This window comes from Homo sapiens, chromosome 2 (assembly GCF_000001405.40).
Source record: "Homo sapiens chromosome 2, GRCh38.p14 Primary Assembly".
NCBI classification, from domain to species: Eukaryota; Metazoa; Chordata; class Mammalia; order Primates; family Hominidae; genus Homo; species Homo sapiens.
In genome coordinates this window covers 183,119,664-183,143,304 of record NC_000002.12, presented here as the reverse complement: position 1 = coordinate 183,143,304, position 23,641 = coordinate 183,119,664, and the positions used below count along the sequence as shown (strand labels likewise).

The following is a 23,641-nucleotide window of genomic DNA, read 5'->3' as shown; positions in this document are numbered from 1 at the left end:
GATAGAGGGGTAAAAAAAAAAATACCAAGAACTAGAAGAGACGAGACAATAAGAGCAAGAATAAAAAAGACTGCTATTAACCTCACTGCTAGGACATTTTACCTATGAAAGAACAGAATGCTGTATTTCTTTTCTTTTTTTTTTTTTTTGAGATGGAGTCTCGCTCTGTCACCCAGGCTGGAGTGCAGTGGCTCGATCTCAGCTCACTGCAAGCTCCGCCTCCCGGGTTCAGGCCATTCTCCTGCCTCAGCCTCCCGAGTAGCTGGGACTACAGGCGCCTGCAACCACGCCCAGCTAATTTTTTGTATTTTTAGTAGAGACGGTGTTTCACCTTGTTAGCTAGGACGGTCTCGATCTCCTGATCTCGTGACCCACCCACCTCGGCCTCCCAAAGTGCTGGGATTACAGGCGTGAGCCACCGTGCCCAGCTGAGAGAAGAGAATGCTATATTTCTAAGTACATTCAAAGGACAACAACAAAAAGGTTCCTGGAATTAAAATGACAGAGAAAATAAAAAACTGAGATGGTGGGGCATGGTGGCTCACACCTGTAGTCCCAGCACTTTGGGAGGCTGATGCAGGTGGATCACTTGAGGTCAGGAGTTCAAGACCAGCCTGGCCAACATGGTGAAACCCTGTCTCTACTAAAAATACAAAAAGTAGCCCAGCATGTGGTGCACATCTGTAGTCCCAGCTACTTGGGAGGCTGAGGCAGAAGAATCACTTGAACCTGGGGAGGCAGGTTGCAGTGAGCCGAGATTGTGCCACTACACTCCAGCCTGGGCAACAAAGCAAAACTCCATCTCAAAACAAAAACAAAAGTGCCCACCACCCCCCACCAAAAAAAAAAAGAAAACACACAAAATTTGAGAAAATCTCTCAGAAAGTAGCATACAGATATAAATGATAACATAAAAGGGAAACAATAATTAGAAATCTCTGCAGTAATGCAACACACAAACAAGCAATTCCAAAAAACGGAAAAGAGAAAGCAGAGAGAAAGCAATTATCAAACAAATAATACAGGGAAGTTTCCCAGAACTGAAGAATAAATATAAGCATCTTGATGCAAAGGATCCATCAATTCCCCAGCAAAACAAATGAAAAAGTTCCACACCAAGACACATTTGCAAAATTGAGAATACCAACCATAGAAATATCATAAATTCTGGAAAACAGGTCACGTAAAAATACTCAGGAATCATCATCACAAATGGCTTCCACAGAACACTGGAAGGCAGAAGACAATGGAATGATGCCTCCAAAATTCCAACCTACCCACCTACACTATCAATCAAGTGTGAAGACTAAAAAAAGCATTTCTGACATGAGGTTTTAAATTTTTACTTCTTAAGCAAGCTTTTTTAGAAAGCTACTTAAATATGTTCTTCACCAAAATCAGGACATAAAGAGGGAGGCATGCTTTCTAGGAAAAAGAACTCAACACTACAAACATGCAAGTCCTAGGATGATTGTCATACACCATGCCAAAACAAGAAATCAAGACAGAGGCTAAGAGAGAGAAATTCTCAATTTAAAACAAAGAAAAATGTGCTTGAAAAGTGAGTATACTAAAATAGGTATGTACCATAGCAGCAGAATGTTTGCTTAAAATAAAGGGAACAAACGGCACATAGAAAATTAGACTTAATAGAAAAAAAACAATTATTAACTATTGGAGAATCAAGAGTTTTACAGAAAGAATAATCATATTAATTGGTTCAGCACTGAGCAGTATTTACATAGTCACAGTACAAACACTGACAAAGGAATAAAGTTAGATGTAACTATATTCAGATAATATGAGGGGAAAATACAATATCTTCAATTACTTTAAGAGAAATATAGCAAAATTAAAAACTGAAAATTAAGAATTAGCAATATGATGACGTGGCTGGCTAAATGACAGCCCTCCAAGATAACAACATTCTAATCCCTGAAATCTGCAAATGCTATCTATGTGGCAAAAGGGATCTTGCAGATGTGATTACAGATCCTCAGATGGGGAGATTATCCAGGTGGGCCCTATATGTAACCACAAGTATCCTTACAAGAGGGAAGTAGGAGATTTTACTTCAGGGAAGGCTATGTGATTATGGAAGCAGGGAATGGAATGATATGCTTTGAAGATGGAGGAAAAAGGCATAAAGGAGAATCCAGCTAGATGCTGAGGAAAAAAAAAAAAACAAGGAAGCTGATTGTCCATAGAATCTCCAGAGGTAATCCTATCAACCCCTTGACTTTAGCCCAGTGAAACTGACTTTGGGATAAATGAGAATAAATGTAAAGTGTTTTAAGCCAATACATTTGTGGTAATTTGTTACAATGGCAAGAGTAAACTAATATAGCATCTAATTTGGACATAGTAAATTCCAAAAAGAATAGCTCTAAGATCTGGACTGGCTAGTTCATAATAAGGTTAAAGATCATTGCATTTTGTTGTATTAAAGTTCTATTTAATTTTCCTTTTTTTTTTTTTTTTTGAATGGAGTTTTGCTCTCGTTGCCCAGGCTGGAGTGCAGTGGTGCGATCTCGGCTCACTGCCACTTCCACCTCCCCAGTTCAACTGATTCTCCTGCCTCAGCCTCCTGAGTAGCTGGGATTACAGGTGTCCACCACCATGCTTGGCTAATTTCTTGTAGTTTTTGTAGAGATGGGGTTTCACCATGTTGGCCAGGATGATCTTGAACTCCTGACCTCAGGTGATCTACCCGCCTTGGCCTCCCAAATTGCTGGGATTACAGTAAGTTCTATTTAATTTTCTAAAACCATCTGAATTTATTATTTTGACTAAAACATAAACATTGCCACCACCATAACTAGAGACCACTCAATGGTAGCATAGTTAATCTGACATGAGAGTAAATAAAATTTTGGTGACTAATTAAAAATAAGATTATCCTAGATTATCCAAATAGGCCCAATATAACCAATAAGGTCCTTAAAAGGGGAAGAGGAAAGGAAAATAATAATGTAGAAACACTCACTGGACACTGGGGGTTCTGAAGATGGTAGGGGGACATAAACCAAAGAATGTGGACAGCCTCTACAACTTAGAAAAGAAAAAAAAAATTCTCCTCTAGGGCCTCCAGAAAGGAATGCAGTCCTGCTAACATCTTGATTTTAGTCCACTGAGGCCTACTTCAGACTTCTGACCTCCATAACTGTAACACAATAAATTTGTGTTGTTTTAAGATATTAATTTGTGATAATATGGTTCAGCAGCAATAAGAAGCTACATAGTCTAGAATAAGGATAGTTTTTATTCAGTATTATTAAAGAAAAATCATGCCTTGCCAAGTTGGATGCAAATACACCAATCCTCTTATTTGGTAGTGGATACTGGTGTTGGAATGTCATTGTCTCAAAACAATATTTACATATATTAGTTACCTGTGGCTGCTGTAACAAATTACCACAAACTGGATGGCTTAAAACAGAAATTTATTCTCTCACAAATTATGGAGGCCCAAAGTCCAAAATTATGTTGTTGGCAAGGTGGCATGCCTGCTGCAGACTCTAAGGAAGGATCCACTGCTTGCCGCTTGCCTCCTCCACCTTTTGGTGACTTATGGCATGCTTTGGAAACAACACTCTAATCTCTGCCCCCTTCTGAACATCACCTTCTCTCTCCTCTATATGTTTCTCTTCCTCTTCAGTTTCAAATTTCTTTCTGCCTCTTACCTACAAGGACCCTTGTGACTGGATTTAGGCACCATCCAGGCAATCCAGGATTCTGTCCCCTTCCCTCCTTAACTCTTTAAACTCTCCTTCAGAGTCTCCCCTCTGAAAATCCTTAACTCAATCATATGTAAGTTAACAGTCACAGGTTCCAGTGATTAGGATGTGGACATATTGTATGGAGGCCACCATTCAACTCTCTACAGCTTATATCCATCAATATATTCAGTCAACAAACATTTACAAAGGGCTGGGTATGGCATGGTGGCACATGCCTATAATTCCAGCACTATGGGAGGTCGAGGTGGGAGGACTGCTTGAGCCTGGGAGTTTAAGGCTGCAGGGAGCTATGACTGCACCACTGCACTCCAGCCTGGGTGACAGCGAGATCTTTTCTCAAAAAAAAAAAAAAGAAAGAAAGAAATGCAAAACCATAATGTTAAGTAAAGTTTTACACTTTAGCGGCTCTCTTAGTCTACTGAAAAGCATACATTTTAATTTTCTTATTGTTGTCAAGTGGAAAAGCACAGGATTAATGTTAGGTCCTTTGTACCCAGCTCTGAGATGGGTAAACACTGAAGACACAGGAAAAATCTCTGTCTTGAAGGAGTTCATAATCAGGTAATAAAGACAGATGAGAGCCAAACAGAGAGCTTTAAAAGGAACACATGTAAGGAGTACCTAACCCAAACCAGAAAAAGAAGAGTCCCTTTTGGCCCCCACTTCCAGGAACACTATCAAAACTCTGAGGTCCTTGCATCAACAAAAGCAGCCATAAAGTGCTACTATCACTTAATATCACGCTTAACCTGTTAACAATATGCTAACACAAATGATTCTAGTTAATTAACGAGTGACCTACCATTTTGGAAGAGAGCTAATATATAAGTGAAAGAACTTCTCAAGAAAAAAAGTAATAAAAAATATAAAGGAAGAAGAAAAGCAGAAGAAAACTTAAATTGCAGCAGAAAAAAATATTCAGGGATGAGGATGGGGAAAGTAGAAAAAACACATTCAATGTTCTTTACCAGGGGCAGTAATATACCATGACTAAGAGTTTCTTATATTCTTTAATCCAGATTTCCTATTTTGACTTATGACCAATGTTTTCCTGCACCAGAAATAATATTCTAAAAAAGATCTTAACATCAGTTACAGAATGTTTACAAAATAAAATAAACCCACCAACCTCTTTATTGGATGCAAAAAACAACCTAAGCATAAAGTGGCAGTCATGCCATTATATCCCATGACATCTCTTTATAAAACTTGCCAATCTCAGAAAGCTAAGATTTACTAATCATCCAAAAAAACTTCACTTAACACTAAATACAGGAGCTAAAAAAAAAAAAAAATATATATATATATATATATATATAGCTCTAAATGAAAAATCTAGGTTTTCCCCTCAATTTTCCTGTCAATTCTCTTTTTCTATTTCTTGCCTATCATTGGCCATGCATGATAGGTCTCCACACCTTGTCATCTTTTCAAAAATATTCTTTGTCACTTATACCCCATTAAGACTTTCTATGTGTAAATTCCTTAAAGTCAAAGTAGAAGCAGCAGTGGCTCCCAGTGGCCAATTCATGATAGGTATTTTTCCTATCACAGCTCTTGTATTTTCATATATAGTTTCTACAATTACAAAACCTCACAGAAGTTACTATATTAGAAAAAAATAAGTTAACAAAAAGATATTTATTAACATTAATCATGCGCTTTTCTACTTGACAACGGTAGGAAAATTAAAATGTATGCTTTTCAGTCAACTAAGAGAGCCACTAAAATGTAAAACATTACTTAACATTATGTGTTTTTGCCTTTTTTTTTTTCTTTGAGGTCTCCCTGTCACCCAGGCTCGCGTGCAGTGGTGCAATCATAGCTGCCTACAGCCTTAAACTCCCCGGCTCAAGCGGTCTTCCCACCTTGACCTCCCATAGCGCTGGAATTATAGGCATGTGCCACCATGCCACACTCAGCCCTGTTTTTGGATTTTCAATGTCCCTGGGATCACTTACTGACTCAATTATTTCTTTGAAACAAGGTCTCACTCTGTCACCCAGGTTGGAATGCAGTGGTGTGATCACTGTTCACTACAGCCTTGACTTCCCAGGCTCAAGTGATCCTCCTAACCCCAGCATCCGAGGTGGCTGGGACTACAGGTGTGTGCCACCATGCCAGGCTAATTTAAAAAATTTTTTTTTGTACAGACAGGCATCTCACTATGTTGCCCAGGCTGGTCTCAAAACTCCTGGACTCAAGTGATCCACCTGCCTCGGGATTACAGGCATGAGCCAGTGGCACCTGGCATGACTCAAATAACTGAATAATCACTATTTCTGCGTGTAACAAAGCATCATCATCCACCTATTTGTTACAGTTTGATCAGCTTAAGGCTGTTCAGCACTAATTTTCCTAGACATTCAACCTCAGTTACATGGCTGAAAAGACTAGGGTGACATTCTAGATGTTTGATCATGACATACACAGTAGACAGACTTCTAAAAAGGCCTCCAAGATTTCTTTTTTTTGGAGACAAAGTCTCGCTCTATCACCCAGGCTGGAGTGCAGTGGCTCGATCTCAGCTCACTCCAACCTCTGCCTCCCAGGTTCAAGTGATCCTCCCACCTCAGCCTCCCAAGTAGCTGGGATTACAAGCGTGCACCACCATGCCTGGCTAATTTTTATATTTTTACTAGAGACAGGGTTTCCCCATATTGGCCAGCCTGGTCTCAAACTCCTGGCCTCAAGTGAGCTGCACTCCTCAGCCTCCTAAAGTGCTGGGATTACTGGCATGAACCACTGCGCCCAGCCTAAAGAGGCCTCCAAGATTTCTGTCCCCTGGTTTGACTGATTGGTAATCCAATCAACCAATCCAGGTACTGCCGTGAAGGAACTTGGCAGATGAACTTAGGGTTACTACTCAGCTGACTTTAGAATAAGGAACTATCTCAGATTATCCTCATGGGCCTGATAAAATCGAATGAGCTCTAACCACCAGCAGAAGGCAGAAAAGTAAAGTTAGAGATATATGAAGCATAACAAAGGACTTGATCTGCCATTGCTATATCTGAAGATGGAAGATGGAGAGCCATGAGCCAAGGAGTGAGGGCAGCCTCTAGAAGTTAACATCTTAAGGTAACAGCCAGCAAGGAGAGGGACCTCATTCATTCCTATAACCACACAGAACTAAATTCTGCCAACAACTTGAAGGAGCTTGGAAGCAGATTCATACCCAAAGCCTCCAGACAGAAACACAGCCCTGTTGACATCTGAGCTCTAACCAACAGCCCAGATATCTGACCTCTAGAAACCAGAAGATAATACGTGTATTGTTTTAAACCACTAAGTTTGTCGTAATTTGTTATGGCAACTACAGAAAACTAGTACAGATTTTGGAACAAGTCAGGTGCTGCTGTTAACACCCAAGTAAAAATGTGGAAATGGCTTTAGAAATCAGGCAGTGGGTAGAGGCTGGAAGAATTCTGAGCATCGTGATAGAAAATGACTAAGTTTCCTTGAAGAACATTTTACTAGAAATGTAGACTTTAAAGACACGGCCAATGAGTGCTCACAGACTGCCTCAAGAAATTCAGACTTGGAGGATTCAAAGGATCCAATTTGTATTGGGTGTTCCTTTTGTTATCCATTCTGACAATACCTGCCTTAACCAGAGTGTTTAATACATTTTACATCATTGTTAATTTGGTTAGTTTTTTTGCGTGCTTTTTTTTTTAAATTTTTATTTACTTTTTTCTTGAGATAGGGTCTTGTTCTGTCACCCAAGCTGGAGTGCAGTGACAAAATCAGCTCCCTTGCAACCTCGAATTCCTGGGCTCAAGCAATCCTCCTGCCTCAGCCTTCCGAGTAGCTGGAACTACAGGCACATGCCTGATTTGCTTAGTTTAAAATCTACTGTCTTGCTATTGTTTCTTATGTTCCATCTTTCCCTGTTATTGTATTATTTCCCTTCTTGCCTGCCTACTTTTTCTATCACTATCATCTCTCACCTAGATTGCTACAAGTAGCCTCCTAACTTGTCTCCTTGCTTCTAAGCTAACTTTTACTCCCAAACTAGTTGAACCCAGCAACAGTCTCATCCTTATTGTCTTCCACCTTTTCTGGGTAAAGACCAATTGTGACAATAACCTACAGGGCCATGTAATACATCTGCCCCCATTACCTCTCCTCTCTGACCTCATTTTCCACTATTCTCCCCCTCACTTACTCCATTTCAGTCACCATCCCCTTATTCTTCCTTGAACACCCCAGACACACTGTTCCCTCCGTCTAGAATACTATTCCCTACCTCCCTCACTTACAGACTTTTGAGTAAAGTTTACTTGCCCCCTAACTATCAGTGGTAGGTGGAATAAGCTGGGTAGGTCCCCAAATGATGTCCATGACCTAATCCCTGGAACCTGTGAATGTTACATTACATGGCAAAGGGAATTAAGGTTGCAGGTGGAATTAACCCTGCTAATCAACTGACCTTAAAATACAAAGATTATCCTAGATTATCTAGAAGGGCCCAATGTATTCACAAGGGTCTTTAAAAGAGAGAGGGAGATATGACTACAGAAGAATGGTCAAAGAGTTACAAAGTTGCTGACTGTGAAGATGGAGGAAGGGAACCATAAGCCAAGAAACATTAAGTAGCCTCTAGAAATGGAAAAGGCAAGAAAATAGATTATTGCCAGCTGGGCGCGGTGGCTCAAGCCTTTAATCCCAGCACTTTGGGAGGCCGAGGTGGGTAGATCACAAGGTCAGGAGTTCGAGACCAGCCTGGCCAAGACGGTGACACCCCATCTCTACCAAAAATACAAAAAAAAAAAAAAATTAGCCAGGCGCAGTGGCGAGCACCTGTAATCCCAGCTACCCGGGAGGCTGAGGCAGGAGAATCACTTGAACCCAGGAGGTGGAGGTTGCAGTGAGCCGAGATGGTGCCACTGCACTCTAACCTGGGCGACAGACCAAGACTCCATCTCAAAAAAAAAAAGAAAAATAGATTTTTGTCTAGAACCTCCATAAATGAACACAGCCCTACCAATGTCTAGATTTTAGCCCACCAAGACCCATTTCAAACTTCCGACCTCCAGAAATGAAAGATAATGAATGTGTATTGTTTAAGCCACTTTTATGTTTGTGGTAGTTTGTTATGGCAGCAACAGAAAACTAATACATTACCCTATTTAAAACTCTAAGTCTCTACCCCCTCCCCCCCTTTGCTGCTTAATTTTTTCCTCCACAAAATGTAATACCTTCTAACAAATGTTATAATTTACTTGTTTTGTTTATAAATGTAAATTCTGCAAATAAATGTAAGTTCCATAAAGGCAGGGAATATCTATTTTGTTTACTATTTCCCAGAGTACACAGTTAGGTGCTCAAATATTTGCTGAATAAACATTTGATGGGATTATACACATATGACGACATATGAAGAACTGTGCTAAGCATAATGATGATTATTAAAAAGCCATTAATCTTAAAGAAAAACTAGGTATATAATCAGTGGTTGCTTCTATTCAACGGCATTTAGATTTATAACTATGCATTAACATCTCTCAAAACACCTTTATTATTCAGTGTCTTAACTATTCCTTTTCATCCCAATTCCAATGGCTTTTTTATTGACAAGTTTTAATAACTAAGGAGATACTTCAAACATCTATTAAGTATACAATTTCTTAAAAAGACATTCTGAATATTCACCCCACCATACCTTTAGGGTGATTTGATTCAGAAAATAATCAATATACAAAGTATTTCCTTCCTGAAAGAAGTTATAGATTTTGGAAAATCTCCAAGTTTGAAATATAAAATAAAAAATTTTGGCAGTTACCAACAAACATTTTATATTAAATTCATTCGAAGAATAGAGAAGTATTTGGTGTCAGAGTTGTTTACTCCGTGATCACACCACTGCACTCCAGCGTGGGTAGCAGAGCCAGACCCTGTCTTTTAAAAAAAAAAAAAAAAAGAAAGAATCACTTACCTGTTCCAGGAGTAGATGTAACTCCAACAAGAGGACTCTGCATTACTGAAATGTTTGGCTACACAAACAGAAGAAAGTGTTATGGTAAAAATGCAAAACATAAATACAGTAAGTGTTAAAAGGCTTCATTCAATGGATAACTGAATTTTTATCATGTGCTAGAGATGCCTCTAATTAGCTCAAAGTACAAAGGCACTCTTTTTTCCCCATAAGTTAAACAGTATTAACCTAAAATTTACTAGATCCCTTAGTATTTGTTTAAAATAAGAAAAGTCATATTATGTTAAAAAAAAAAAAAAAGACTATCTTCTGTAAAAGGTGACATGTTAACTATTTGTTTTTAGTTTCTAATGTACAATATTTGAAATAACAGAGATAATGGTAATTTTTAAAATGACCAGGTTCATACAGAAAAACAGAAGGGTGACAAAATTTGATTTTCAACAGATACTTAGAAACCATGAAACACTATAGATTCAAATCAGTCTAAACAATAAAAGACAGCATATCCCTACCACTACCAGTAGAAAGTTCCAAAACTGGTAAATTATCCATTTTAGTTCCTTTAAATATAAGAAAATTAAGGATTAAAATAGTTTAAAATCCTTCTAAAACAAAGACAATATCCAATCAATAAATGAGAACAGAATCTCTCTAGAACTCAATAAAGATTTTTTAAAACAGATTCTAATTAAACTAAGGAAATCTCAAATAGCTTCATTTAGCAACCAGAACTAAATGCTGAGAGAATGTTGGGAGAGATATAAAATTTATTCCTCAATTATTAATGCCAATTCTTTCATGATTAGAAAGCAAACTGAGCAAATTCCAGGGGGCATAACTAATTTGGGCTCTAATCTAGCAATAATATTCTTACCAACTTTCAAATCAAAAACATTCTCTATAAATTATGACCCACGAGTCTTTCAAACATTTTGAATACAGCAATATCTGTAAGCCTTTGTCTGTATCATCAGAGAAGTAATAAAACCTTGCACAAATTTAGAAGCCAGTGGTTCTTGCAACAAACAATTTTTTAATTTTTTAGTTTTTATTATTTTATTTTTGAGACAGGGTCTCACTCTGTCACCCAGGCTGAGTGCAGTAACACGATCACAGCCCACTGTAGCCTGAGCTTCCCAGGCTCAAGCAATCGTCCCACCTCAGCCTTCTGAGTACCTGGGACTATAGGTACACACCACCACATCTAGCCTTTTTTTTTTTGTATTTTCAGTAGAGACAAGAGTTTCGCCATGTAGCCCAAGCTGATCTCAAACTCATGGGTTCAAGCAATCTGCCCAAAGCCCAGCACAGTGGGTCACACCTGTAATCCCAGCACTTTTGAAGGCCAAGGAAGGTGGATTACTTGAGCTCAGGAGTTCAAGACCACCCTGGGCAACAGGACAAATCCCATCTCTACAAAAAATACAAAAGTTAGCCAGGCATGGTGGTCCACATCTGTAGTCCCTGCTACTAGGGAGAAGAGGTGGGAGGATCACTTGAGCCCAGGATGTCGAGGCTACAGTGGGGCATGACCATTTCACTGCACTCTAGTCTGGGTGATAGAGCAAGACCCTGTCTCAAAAAATAATAATAATAAATAAAAATACATAAAAATCAAGCAATCCGCCCACCTCGGCCTCCCAAAGTGCTGGGATTACAGGCATGCACCAACACGCCCAGCCTTCATACCAAACTAATCATAAGCTTTACTTATCAACCTTTAGAAAACCATCCCAGACCAGGATATCTATCCATTAGGAACAATAAATTCCATACGTGTAATTTTACCATTTCTAGTAGGCACATTTTAAAAGTACAAACAGGTGAAATTTAGTAATATTTAGCCAAACACATCCAAAACATTATCATTTCAATATGTAATCAACATAAAAAAATAAGATACCTTACATTCTTTCTAAGTCTTCAAACTCTGGTGTGTATTTTATACTTAAAGTGTATCTCAATAAAGACTAGCTATATCTTTAGTATCAATAGCCACACTTAGCTAGTGGCTCCTGTTGGACAGGAAGGCAGGTCTAGAAGTGTTGGGAAGAAACAGTAATCTGTTTACCACAGTGAATGAATTTTGCTTTACTTGACAAGTAAGCCTAGTATGCCAGACATATCAAGCCTATAAATAGCACGAATCCACTGAAAAATGCTTTCTAATATTCTTGAACTCTCAACTTCACTAAATACAATTTAGGGAAAGGCATAAAACATATATCTAAAGCAAACAGCAGACATATCTTTATATAAAGAACTTACCAACTTAACTGATAAACTTTGTTTATATGTCCTACTAAGCACAATAATAATAGGAAACAACACTTGTGTCTATGAAGCTACTAAATTTTCTACTTAAAAGAAAAGTCGGCCAGGCACAGTGGCTCACATTTATAATCTAGCGCTTTGAGAGGTCAAGGTGCAAGGATCACCTGAATCCGGCAAGACCTCATCTCTACAAAAAAAAATACAATTAGCCAGGCATAGCAGCACGTGCCTATATCCCAATAGGACAGTTGAGGCAGGAGGATTGGTTGAACCCAGGAGTTCAAGGCTGCAGAGTTATGACTGTGCCGCTGCACTCTAGCCTGGGCAACTGATCAGGACCCTGTTGGGGACCCTAAAAAAAGAAGAAAATAAAGACAAGTCCATACTACTTCTCAGCTGACGAGTGCCCTAGATCTAGATGAAACTCTAAATTTTCATTTGTTCTTTCACATAATTTTTAAATATTAAATATTAAACTTCTTAAACAATCAGAATGATTTAAACCATAGTCACATTCTACATGTATATTAAGTAGGTTGGAGCTATGGGCAGGTGGATAAGGCATACCTATAAACACCTGAGAATTACCTATGAGAGAAAATCTAGAGTTCTACACTGTTAAGTACAGTTCATCATCAACACAATTTAAGTAGATTCTATGATGTGTTTAATGTTTATTCTGTGCAACACAGTTACATTAAAACAGACTTCAGGGAAACATTTCAAAGTATTGACTCTCACTGAACAGACACATAAAACCATGATGTTGTTCATTGGGGATCAAAAGGGTATTTATATTACCTGTCTTCTTGAAGTTAAAGGTGTTGATCCAAGTCCTGGGCTAGAAATGTCATCATATATACTTCTAACTGGTGGAGCGCCACTTTTATCTTTATGAGCTGGTACAACTGGTTGTGGTGGTGACCCACCTACAGTGTACAAAAAAAAAAAAAAAAAAAGGGATTCTTCTTTTTGGTAAGATTTTTTAAATTTATATTTTTGAAATACTGACTTAAAATCTTGTCTGTTAGTTCTTTTCAAACTTTAATATGCTGAACAGTCACCTGGGGACCTTGTTAAAATTCAGACTCTGATTCAGAAGGTGTAGGGTGAAGCCTGAGATTATACAGTTCTAATAAGCTCCCAGGTAATGCCAATGCTGCTGATCCATAGACTGCACTCTGAATAAAAGGATTCAGAGTAAGTAGTTAATGAAAATCTTAGTTTTCAGAAAACACATGTAACTTTTGCTCACTCTACAAAACGCTTAACATTTAAATACAAAACTTGATCCCATTTCTCACTTGAAAGTAGGTACTAAACAGCTCCAGTCTGTAGATTCCTGAATAAATACAATTCCCTATGTAGAGTTTGACTATCTAGATTAAGTAGATCCCATTCATGTTTCTCACAGTAGAAATATATTTAAGTACATAATAAAGATGTAGTAAAAGGACCAAGTTCTGTGACATAAAGATGTCTTTATCGATCAGAGAACATGCAATGTCAAATAGTGATGCAGCCCAGGCCATCGGTAAGACTAATGTCTGAGCCTGGACTGTACAGCTTAAGCTATTTAGAGCACAGTCTATGGAATAAGACTAACCTGAGGTTTATAGCGCTCGCTCACTTACTAGCAAGTGAGCTTCAGCAAATTACTTATTGCATTTAGCCTCAGTTTTCTCTTTTTAAAGATGGGGATACTATTACCTACCCTTTAAGATTGACAAAATAATGATTAGCATACTGCCAGGCTCATAAGCAATCAATATACGTTGGCTACCATAATAAAATAACACATTTGAAATTTAATGTTTAATGTTAAATGAATTACTTCAAATATAATTTATAATTCTCCCTGATAAATCCTAAATAATAAACCATTTTAAAGCAAAAATACTTTAAAGGGCAATTAAGGTAAAAAGAGTTTTCACTTGAACTACTACTAAAGGATATTAGCTCACAATTAGAATTCAACACTTCTGTATCTAATTCTCACTACTCAGTTAAAACTTCGAAGTCATTTTTTAAAGTATTTCTTTGCTAAAGGAGTTCTGTAATAAACACAGGCTGCATTTACAATACTTTGCCCTGACAATCACAAATTCTGTGTATAAAACCTCCCCCCCAAGTTTCCTTAAACACGCTATATGTGAGAATCTCAATTCACTAAGACTAAAGGCAGAATTCGTATCTACATCTTCAAGTTACACTTCTTTTGACCGATTATTTCCTATTCTTGTATCTTAAGATGAATTACTTTAAATGAATTCAGTTGAAGCTAAATGATGGTATTTCATCAACTCTGTGAGGCACTCTTCCCCCACCACACTCTGACATCTCCGACACAGAAATTTTACAAAAAATGGCATCTTAGCATTGTGTCATATTTAGGGTTATCTTTCCTAGTGGTACTTAAAAGCCAATTCAAAGGCATCTTAGAATGAAAAAAACATAGAATACATTTTAGTGGCTCTAGAAATTATAGCTTATACTTCTTACACCTCTATTCCAAGAGCCTTAAAAGCTTTGCTTTATAATAGACACATTGCTTAATTTTTTTTAATTAATGTATTGATGAGGGTGAATGCTGCACCACTACACTTTTAAAAATTCTAGCACAAGCTTGTCCCACCCATGGCTTGAACACCGCATGAAGCCCAGGATGGCTTTGAATGTTGCCCAACACAAATTGGTAAACTTTCTTAAAACATTTTAAGATTTTTTTTGCATTTTTTTTTTTTTTTAGCTCATCAGCTATTATTAGAGTTACTGTATTTTATGTGTGGCCCAAGTCAATTCTTCTTCCAATGTGGTTCAGGGAAGCCAAAAAATTGGACATCCCTGTATCTAGCATGTCTATAAAATTATTTTAAGCAATTCACCTACCTGCAAGTAAAGGTGATCTCATTTCCATTACTCCTACTGAAGGGCCACTAATTGATCGAGGTTGTGGAGTCACCGGAGCTGGCAAATCCCCCATTAAAAATCCAGGTAAGAACTGGGCATTAACTCCTGGCTTTGGAGATGTGGGTGAACCCAGCATCATTGGTTCAGATCCTACATGAATCAAAAAATAAATTAAGGACTTTTCTGTTACAGTTTCTGTTACATGTTGATGACAAAAACATGCAAGAATCTAACATAATTTTGCAAATTTAATCAAAACTTTTAGATATAATAGAACCATAGTTGAATTTATTATTTTAAAAGCCAACAAAAAATATTTCTAGAAAAATGTAAAGTTATCTTGTATTCACTTTTTTTTTTTTTCTGAGTCCGAGTCTCACTCTGTCACCAGGCTGGAGTGCAGTGGCGCAATCTCAGCTCACTGCAACCTTCACCTCCTAGGCTCAAGCGATCCTCCCTCCTCAGCCTCTCAGTAGCTAAGTCTACAGGCCTGCACCACCACGCCCAGCTAATTTTTGTATTTTTTTGCAGAAATGGGGTTTCACCATGCTGCCCAGACTGCTCTGGAGCTCCTGAGCTCAGGTGATCCACCAGCCTTGGCCTCCCAAAGTGCTGAGATTAAAGGTGTGAAGCCAGTACACCTGGCAGCACAATATTTATCTGTGACAGCTATTTTTGTTTACATTATTTCAGGGGTTTAAAAATCACACTAATAACTTCTTTCCATTTCCGAATCAGTTTGGACTATGTAACAACCAAAAACAAGGACAGGCTGCACTACTTATACATACAAAGCTTAGCATATCAAACACAATGGGTTAAGCTTGCTAAATTGTTTCTTTTTCTTCCCCATAAAAAGTTCATCATTATTGTGATAAAACCGTAACCATGCATATATTAGAGCACTTACAAAATAACAGTGATAACTAGCACCCTAACTCAGAAACATGTTGAAAAGAGTCGAAAACTTATTTTTGTATCTTTTTTCTTAATCATTAGTTTAAGTCAAGAATAATCACAGCTGGGCATGGTGACTCACGCCTGCAATCCTAGCACTTTGGGAGGCCAAGGCAGGAGGATCACTTGAGCTCAGGAGTTCAAGACCAGCCTGGGCAACACACTGAGATCTCATCTTTTTTATTTAAAAAAAAAAAAAAATTAAAGAATCATCATTAAATATCCCCCTAATATAAAGCCAACTTAGAGAACTGAAACCTCACAATTGATACAAAATAAATCCTCACAATCTATAGAGTAGATATTATTTCCCTTATGAAGATGAGTGAGCTATATAATTCTAATTTCAGAGCAAAATAGCAGAATAAGGAAAACAATGGGCTATGGAGTCAAAGATGTGGGTTCAAGTTCTCTCAGTAAAAGGGAATAAGCATAGCTAGCATCCACTAACAGAGCTTTTGTTAGAATTATAGCAAGTATAGCTTGACCTGGTACCTGATACACAGGTGCTCAATAAATACGAATTATTATTTTCTACAAATATTTTATAATAGCAAAAACTGAGTAAAGTATAAATGTAGAATTTGCAATCTCTGCTTATGAAAATAATTTTCAACTAGGTGACAAGCCTGAGTGTGACTCATTGCACTCAGAAGGGTCAAATGTTTGCTATGTTATTTGTATGGTTTTTTATTAACTATTACTTAACTTCTAGATGGCCTTAACAATCTGTTTCTTAATATCCGAAAGCTGCCAACTATTTAGTCTTCCTCTTATTTCCCATTATATTAGGCCTAGATATTAACAATACAAGTGTATAAAAGACAAAAAAAAAAACAAATTCAATAAATGGATAAAGCAAATGCTAAAACAAGGTGTGAAAAACTCTAATTACATTGTAATTATTTTATAAAGTGCTAGTTACTATGTTACATGGCACTGTAGAAATATTTCGTAAGAAGATCCACTAAAATCAAACCAAAAGTCTAAACAAAAGCATATTCTTAACAGATATTCAGAATACCATATTAAACGCAAAGTTTTTGGTAACATTCACTACATTCACTCCCCCTCCCTAAAAGAAAAAAAAATTATAGCAAAATAAAGTAAGAATTGGCTTAAGAAAAGTTCTGATGTATCTGGATACATACAGACACAGTAGAAGGCGCAAGCCTCTAATCCCAGGATTTTGGGAGGCCGAGGCAGGTGGATCGCTCGAGCTCAGTTCGAGACCAGTCTGGACAAAATGGCGAAACCTTGTCTCTACCAAAAATACAATAAGTAGCTGGGAGTGGCGGCACACTGTGGTCCCAGCCCCTGGGAGGCTGAGGTGGGAGGATTGCTTGAGCCCGGAGGGGGAGGTTGCAGTGAGCTGAGACTGCACGACTGCACTCCAGCCCAGGTGACACGGCTGTGTCAAAAAAGAGGAAGGGAGGGAGGGAGAGAGGGAAGAAGGAAGGAAAAGAAAAAAGAAAGCACCAGACAGGAAGGAGGGCACAATGGGCTCTTAATCAGGACTGTCACCAACCACCCCTCAGGCTAAATTTCACTTAAAGCAAACTTAAGGAAAAGATGCTGCATGTCCTCAATTCCATTTCATATTCTGTGCTCCCAAAAGATACGTACTCAGCTAGCAGTTTGTTGAAGTCAACCCTTAGTTTTACTACACCAGTGGGCACCTGGAATATCTGCAAAATGTGGACTTAAACATTAATACTGGCTAATGTCAGATTTCTGGCAAGGCAATATACAGGGATTGGTTTACTCACATTTGTAACCCCAATAAATATGCACTCCAAAATGTTTTTGTTGAATAGAAAAATTTGGAACTGGAAATGAAGAGTTTTTGATCTCTAAAATACATTAAAAATAAATACCAAGACGACATCTATATATAAATTTTAATGCAGAGTATCTGCATTATTGACATTATGCATTTAGTTTTTTTATGACAGACTAAAGTAGTTCAAGTTACTCTATTCTCAAAAAGAACTTATTTTACACCAAACATGGCAAGCATTACATACCCTTCAAATCTAAAGACTCTTTCCACACCATATATATTACATTTGCTCTCTTTTCCAAGCTCAGAAAGTTATAACCTAACTTTTCAGGTAAGTCTCTATGACAGTAAGACGGTTTATTTTCCGTTCTAAAATTTTCGACGATTCTCACAAGTCGCAAAACTCAGCAGGAAAAAAAGAAATCCGCGTGCTGTTAAAGTGGTAGATTTTTTTCAAAGACGACATATTTCAACGAGGCTCCGCAATGAATAATGGGAATGAATCTTTAAAAAAATTCAGATCGTGACTTACTAGAGAAAAATACCTCCTACAATACTTAAGAGTCACTTTCCCCAAATAAAGGCGGGAAATATCGTGCGAACTCCTAGCTTGCTGTTAAGGTCAATATCTCAATGATTACCAACCACACGGTTGATTAAATGTTGCACGATTCAAGCTTCCATTAATAACAAGATTCCTTTGGCAAAGCCCGGGAGAGAGGAGTCAAAACAGGAACTGGAAGCACCGGTGATCAAGAAGCAGTGGACTGCACCCACACACTTCAGGGCACCGCCCACCCACGTGTACCGCGGTCAGTTCCTCCCAGGGATGCTTCTGGGGACCAGCAACCAGCTGGGAATCCAGCAACCAGCATCGCGTCTCGGGTATCAGAAGGAGGTTAAGGTATGGGCCAGTCTAACGTGGCTGGCGTGTGGGGGCACAAACACAGCTCAGTCACCGCCAGACGGCCTTTTCTTCACCCTCCCAGGGCCCTCAGCTTCCCGGCGCCACCTTTGTAGCAGTATGGAGGCGACGCGTCGAGTAGGGGACCGACTATGAACTTGGGGGCACCCAAGGATTCCCTCTCCGCGACTGAAACCAGCAGACGAGAGCCTGACGACTGCCTTTCAGTCTTGCCCGCCTCCAGGCCCAGAGCATGGATGGCAGTGCCAGCAAGGAAAAGCAATATTTCACTCACCTAACGCGGGCCCCTGAGGTTCCACTGCAAAGGCTGCCATTGCGTCGGCAACTACACTTAAAACCAGTACCTTCCCAATTAATTTTCAAAAATGGCGGAAACGCTCCCCACGGGTAACGGCGTGCTACCTTATGGGGTTGCGTAACTTCCGGACCTGCGCTATGCTTAAGTTGTAGGCGCCGGAGCCATTTTGGAATAGGGCAAAGTCTTTGCGCTGAGAATTTCCGAGGAAAGGGTTTTTGCACCGGGAAGGTGGCGAACCAGCGTATGGTTCTGTGAATGCTTTTCATCCGGGAATGCTTCCTGATTTGTGGGTACTTAAGTTACATAGAAGCACAGATTATTTTACTCACGGTTTCATAATTAGCGTGAGTTGACCCAGTGCTCTATCATCGGTCAGCTTTTCTGAGTAGCACCTGGAAAAGTCAGCTTGATGAAAACAGTTGGTGCCTCTTTGCAATGTCGATTTCTGGACTTAGTACATGACGCTTTTTCCTCAAAGCATGTTTTCTACTATCCGTATGCCATTTCTTTTAAATTTTGTGTTATGTAGACAATTTTACATTAAAGCGTAACTCATACGCCGTTTTGTTGCATATTAAAACATACAAAAATATAGCTAACGAACGCATAAAGTACACATGTAAATAATGGAAGATAATTATACGCACCCACGAACCCTCCACACCGCGGAATCTTGCGTGCTTCTGCATGTGCCATCCCTGCCGTCCACGTCCCCTCACTTTGCTGCTTTTCTTTAGGGCATAGTCATACGTAAATCACATACACATATTCTGCATATGTGTGTGTAAAAATATATTGTTTAGTTTTGCTCAAATACTAACTTTATAAAATAATGTGCTACATATGTATAACTGGGGACGTTCTCTGCTCCATACCATGAGGATTATTTCCAAAATATCCACCCATGCTCAGCTATTTCTTCTAGGACTTCCTAAAATCTCAAATGGAGGAAGAATTTTGTCTTTGGAATGAGGCAGTAACAATTCCAGAATTAAATGGTAGGTTCACAGAAATCAAATTTTAAAACCACTCACAGATCGAATTGACTTTTTGAAAATGGGTGTGTGAATTGAATTGTGTCCCTCAAAAATTTATGTTCAAGTCCTAACCCTCATACTTATGAATATGACCTTATTTGGAAATCGGGTCTTTGCAGATGTAATAAAGTTCAGATAAAGTCACATTGGAGTACCACAAGCTCGGTTAACTAAACCAGCACAAATGTATCTCTTACAGTTCTGGAGGCCAAAAATCCAAAATGAGTATTGTAGGGCTAAAATCAAAGTACCAGAAGGACTATTTTCTTCTGGAGGCTCCAGGGGAGAATCTATTACCTTGCTTTTTCAAGCTTCTAGAAGCCACTTATATTTCTTAGCTTGTGCCACCTTCCTGCTTTTTCAAAGCCAACGATGTAGCATCTTTGGTCTGTCTGACACTGCTTTGTTCAGCTTCTGCCATCACATAGCCTTGTGATGACATTTAGGACCCACCCAGGTAATCCAGGATAATCTTACTATTTCAATATTCAGTAGAGGTGATTAAGTTAATAATCACATCTTCAAAATACCTTTTGCCATATAAGGTAACATTCACAGATTCTAAAGCTTAGTGTATGGATATCTTTGGGGAGTAGTCAGCCCACAACACAGGGCAATCCACTTTTTAGAATTAAGCTACCAAGAAAGGTATATCAATGTATAAATTTCTACACACATTGAGGCTAGATGTGGTGGCTCACACCTGCAATCCCAGCACCTTGGGAGGCTGAGGGGTTGATCACTTGAGTCCAGGAGTTTGAGATAGTGAGACCCCACTTCTCTACAAAATAAAAAAGAAATTTCTATACAAATTATGATCTAGCCAAACAAAAGAACACTATACAACAACTAAAATGAATTAGATGGATTTGATATGAGTGTAAATATTAACCTAGAAAGACCTCTGTGATAGATATAATGAAAAAAAGTAATTTGAAAACATGCATGCATATACGGCACCATTTTTATTTAATAACGGGTTTATTTAGGAACAGATGCAGAGAAAGAGAAAAGAGTGATACTTCTTTAAATAAAAGAAGATGTTGAAAAAGATTTGCACCAGCCGGGCATGGTGGCTCATGCCTGTAATCCCAGCACTTTGGGAGGCCAAGGCGGGCGGATCACGAGGTCAGGAGTTCCAGACCAGCCTGGCCAACATGGTGAAACCCCATCTCTACTAAAAAATACAAAAATTATCCGGGCATGGTGGCACATGCCTGTAATCCCAGCTACTTGGGAGGCTGAGGCAGGAGAATCGCTTGAACCCAGGAGGTGGAGGTTGCAGTGAGCCAAGACCATGCCACTGCACTCCAGCCTGGCGACAGAGCGAGACTCTGTGTCCAAAAAAAAAAAAGAAAAGAAAAAGAAAAAGATTTGCACCAAACTATTAACAGTAAAGTAGAAAAGGGTTTGTAAATTGGAGGATTTAAGAATGGCCTTTACACATGTATACATATGTAACAAACCTGCACGTTGTGCACATGTACCCTAGAACTTAAAGTATAATAATAATAATAATAAAAAGAATGGCCTTTAACTTATTTTATACAATTTTGTGGTTGATGACAGGTGTTATTGCTATTTTATTTATTTATTTATTTATTTTGAGATGTAGTCTCGCTCTGTCACCAGGCTGGAGTGCAGTGACACGATCTCAGCTCTGGCACTCCACTGCAACCTCCACTGATTCCCCTGCCTCAGTCTCCCGAGTAGCTGGGAGTACAGGCGCATGCCACCACACCCAACTCATTTTTTTTTTTGAATTTTAGTACAGACAGGGTTTTACCATGTTGGCCAGGATGGTCTCGATCTCCTGACCTCATGATCCACCTGCCTCAGCCTCCCAAAGAGCTGGGATTACAGGTGTGAGCCACCGCGCCCAGCCCTATTTTCTTTACTTTTTAAATTAAAAACTTTTTTCCATTAAGACATTTATTTTCTTTTCTTTACCTGCATTTCAATCTTTTACCCTTTCAACAGGCTCTTTCCTTACCAAGCTATAAAGAAGCCCAGAATTGAAACCCTCCCTAGGCCTTGCTCCTCCACCTACCTACCATGTGCTAATTTCTCTCTCATTTCATTTTTTCAAAATCTCAAAAGAAGTGTCTATAGATTTTAGTAAATTATCTGTTTCCCTATCTTTACTATTTTGATTTTTAATTAATTGCAGATTGGCTCCTGTGTAATGCTCTTCCGAAATAAAACTACTGACCCCAACTATTTTTTTTTTCTAATTGCCAAATTAGACCTGCCTCCTTGACATCTGCAGTATCCAACAGCTTTGACAATCTTTTCCTAAGTACAAGTGTTTTCTTTATTTTTGGTGATGCTACACTTCCTATTTCTCATAACTTCCTACTCCTTTTCTGGTTTTTCAATAATTGATCCCATTTTTTTTCTAACCTGGGAATATTATTGATGTTCAAGCCTTTGCTCTCTCCTTTCTTTTTCAACTCTTAGTGGTCTCCCTTGGAATCCTTATCATTGTCACCCTGTGCAAATAATTTTTAATAATCTATACCCAACATCTCTAAAGCCAAATGCCACTTTTCCAGATGCTTGCTGCACAACCTACCCGTACATCAAACCTCAAAAGCAAGCTCATCTTTTGTCTTTTTCTTTCCATCTCTTAGAAACTCAAAATTGAATTCATAGTGCATTAGCAGAATTTAGAGTCAGACGAACCTCAATTCAGAGCCCAACTCTCTCACTAAAACCTATATAACTTGGATTTGTATTTGATTTCTAGATTATATTGTTTGTAAAATAGAAACAATACCTACTTTGAAAAATGGTTATTCTTAGTACAGTGTCTGCTCCACTTTGTTTTTTCTGACATTCACCTTCTCTACCATCAAACATTGAGATATTCTTTCTGCCTCTTCAATTCCTATACAATTGCAGTCAACTCCTTACATCTCCCTGCCTTCAGTTTCTCCCACCAAGCCTAACACACCAGTAGCCAAAACTTTCTTTTTTTTTTTTTTTTTTGAGACGGAGTCTCACTCTGTCATCCAGGCTGGAGTACAGTGGAGCGATCTCAGGTTACTGCAACATCTGCCTCCCGTGTTCAAGAAATTCTCCTGCCTCAGGCTCCCGAGTAGCTGGGATTACAGGTGTACACCGCCACACCCGGCTACTTTTTGTATTTTTAGTAGAGACAGGGTTTTGCCATGTTGGCCAGGCTGGTCTCGAACTCCTGACCTCAAGTGATCTGTCAGATTTGGCCTCCCAAAGTGTTGGGATTACAGGCATGAGCCACCGTGCCTGGCCCAAAGCTTTCTTCTTCATACACATTACCCAGCTGTCTGAAAACACTCACTGAGTTCCTATTTTCTACAGAAGCCTCCTTTTCTTCAGCCTCCACAAGACTCAGGTGTGCAGCACATGTCATTTAGTAACATCCTTCATTATACTATATACATTGTCACCTGGACAGCAAAGAAGGAAAAAATCAGAATCTCTCATGGTGGGAGGGTAGAAGCATCTCTTTAAGAGACTTCCATAGGAACCCCTAAAGGCAATACACATTGTTACCCTACTTTCACCCTGGGGTAACTGAGATCCTTGGCTTCAAAAATAAAATCCCAGGGTGGGGTGGCATGTACCTTTTAGTCCCAGCTACTCAGGAGGCTGAGGCGGGAGGATCACTTGACCCCAGGAGTTCCATGCTGCAGTGAGCCATGATCCTGTTACTGAACTCCAGCCTAGGCCACAGAGCTGGACCCTGTTCCCTGCCCACCCCCCTCCAAAAAGAAAAATTTCCTTCACCT

At 38.9% G+C, this 23,641-nt stretch overlaps 1 protein-coding gene and 1 long non-coding RNA gene across 10 annotated transcripts in view, besides 1 other annotated feature; one reads left to right on the top strand and one right to left on the bottom strand.

Moving 5' to 3' along the window:
• The window catches only part of NUP35 (nucleoporin 35), a 44,167-nt gene that overhangs the window by 18,376 nt on the left and 2,150 nt on the right, over positions 1–23,641 (bottom strand). For 3 of the 9 annotated variants that reach the window (XM_011510577.3, XM_011510576.4, NM_001287584.2), the window contains 4 exons: positions 23,191–23,299; positions 14,848–15,018; positions 12,760–12,887; positions 9,682–9,739 (listed from right to left, as the gene is read on the bottom strand). In XM_011510577.3, the coding sequence (XP_011508879.1) occupies positions 9,682–9,739; positions 12,760–12,887; positions 14,848–15,007 (346 nt within the window). In that variant the 5' untranslated portion in view covers positions 15,008–15,018; positions 23,191–23,299. Of the gene's footprint in view, positions 1–9,681; positions 9,740–12,187; positions 12,311–12,759; positions 12,888–14,847; positions 15,019–18,807; positions 18,863–19,478; positions 19,778–23,190; positions 23,300–23,641 lie in introns of those variants that run through there. The other 6 variants (NR_109856.2, NM_138285.5, XM_047443270.1 and 3 more) reach the window with 4 other exon arrangements.
• Positions 18,044–18,812: an enhancer, noted in NCBI's record as "NANOG-H3K27ac-H3K4me1 hESC enhancer chr2:183989221-183989989 (GRCh37/hg19 assembly coordinates)". NCBI's record gives its function as "activates a minimal SCP1, AML or CMV promoter by ChIP-STARR-seq in primed H9 embryonic stem cells {active_cell/tissue: H9 hESC(primed)}" and the evidence as "EXISTENCE:reporter gene assay evidence [ECO:0000049][PMID:30033119]".
• Positions 18,348–19,388, top strand: LOC124907917 (uncharacterized). The gene is made up of 2 exons (XR_007087331.1): positions 18,348–18,512; positions 18,598–19,388. It is a non-coding gene; the product is annotated as an uncharacterized LOC124907917 (long non-coding RNA).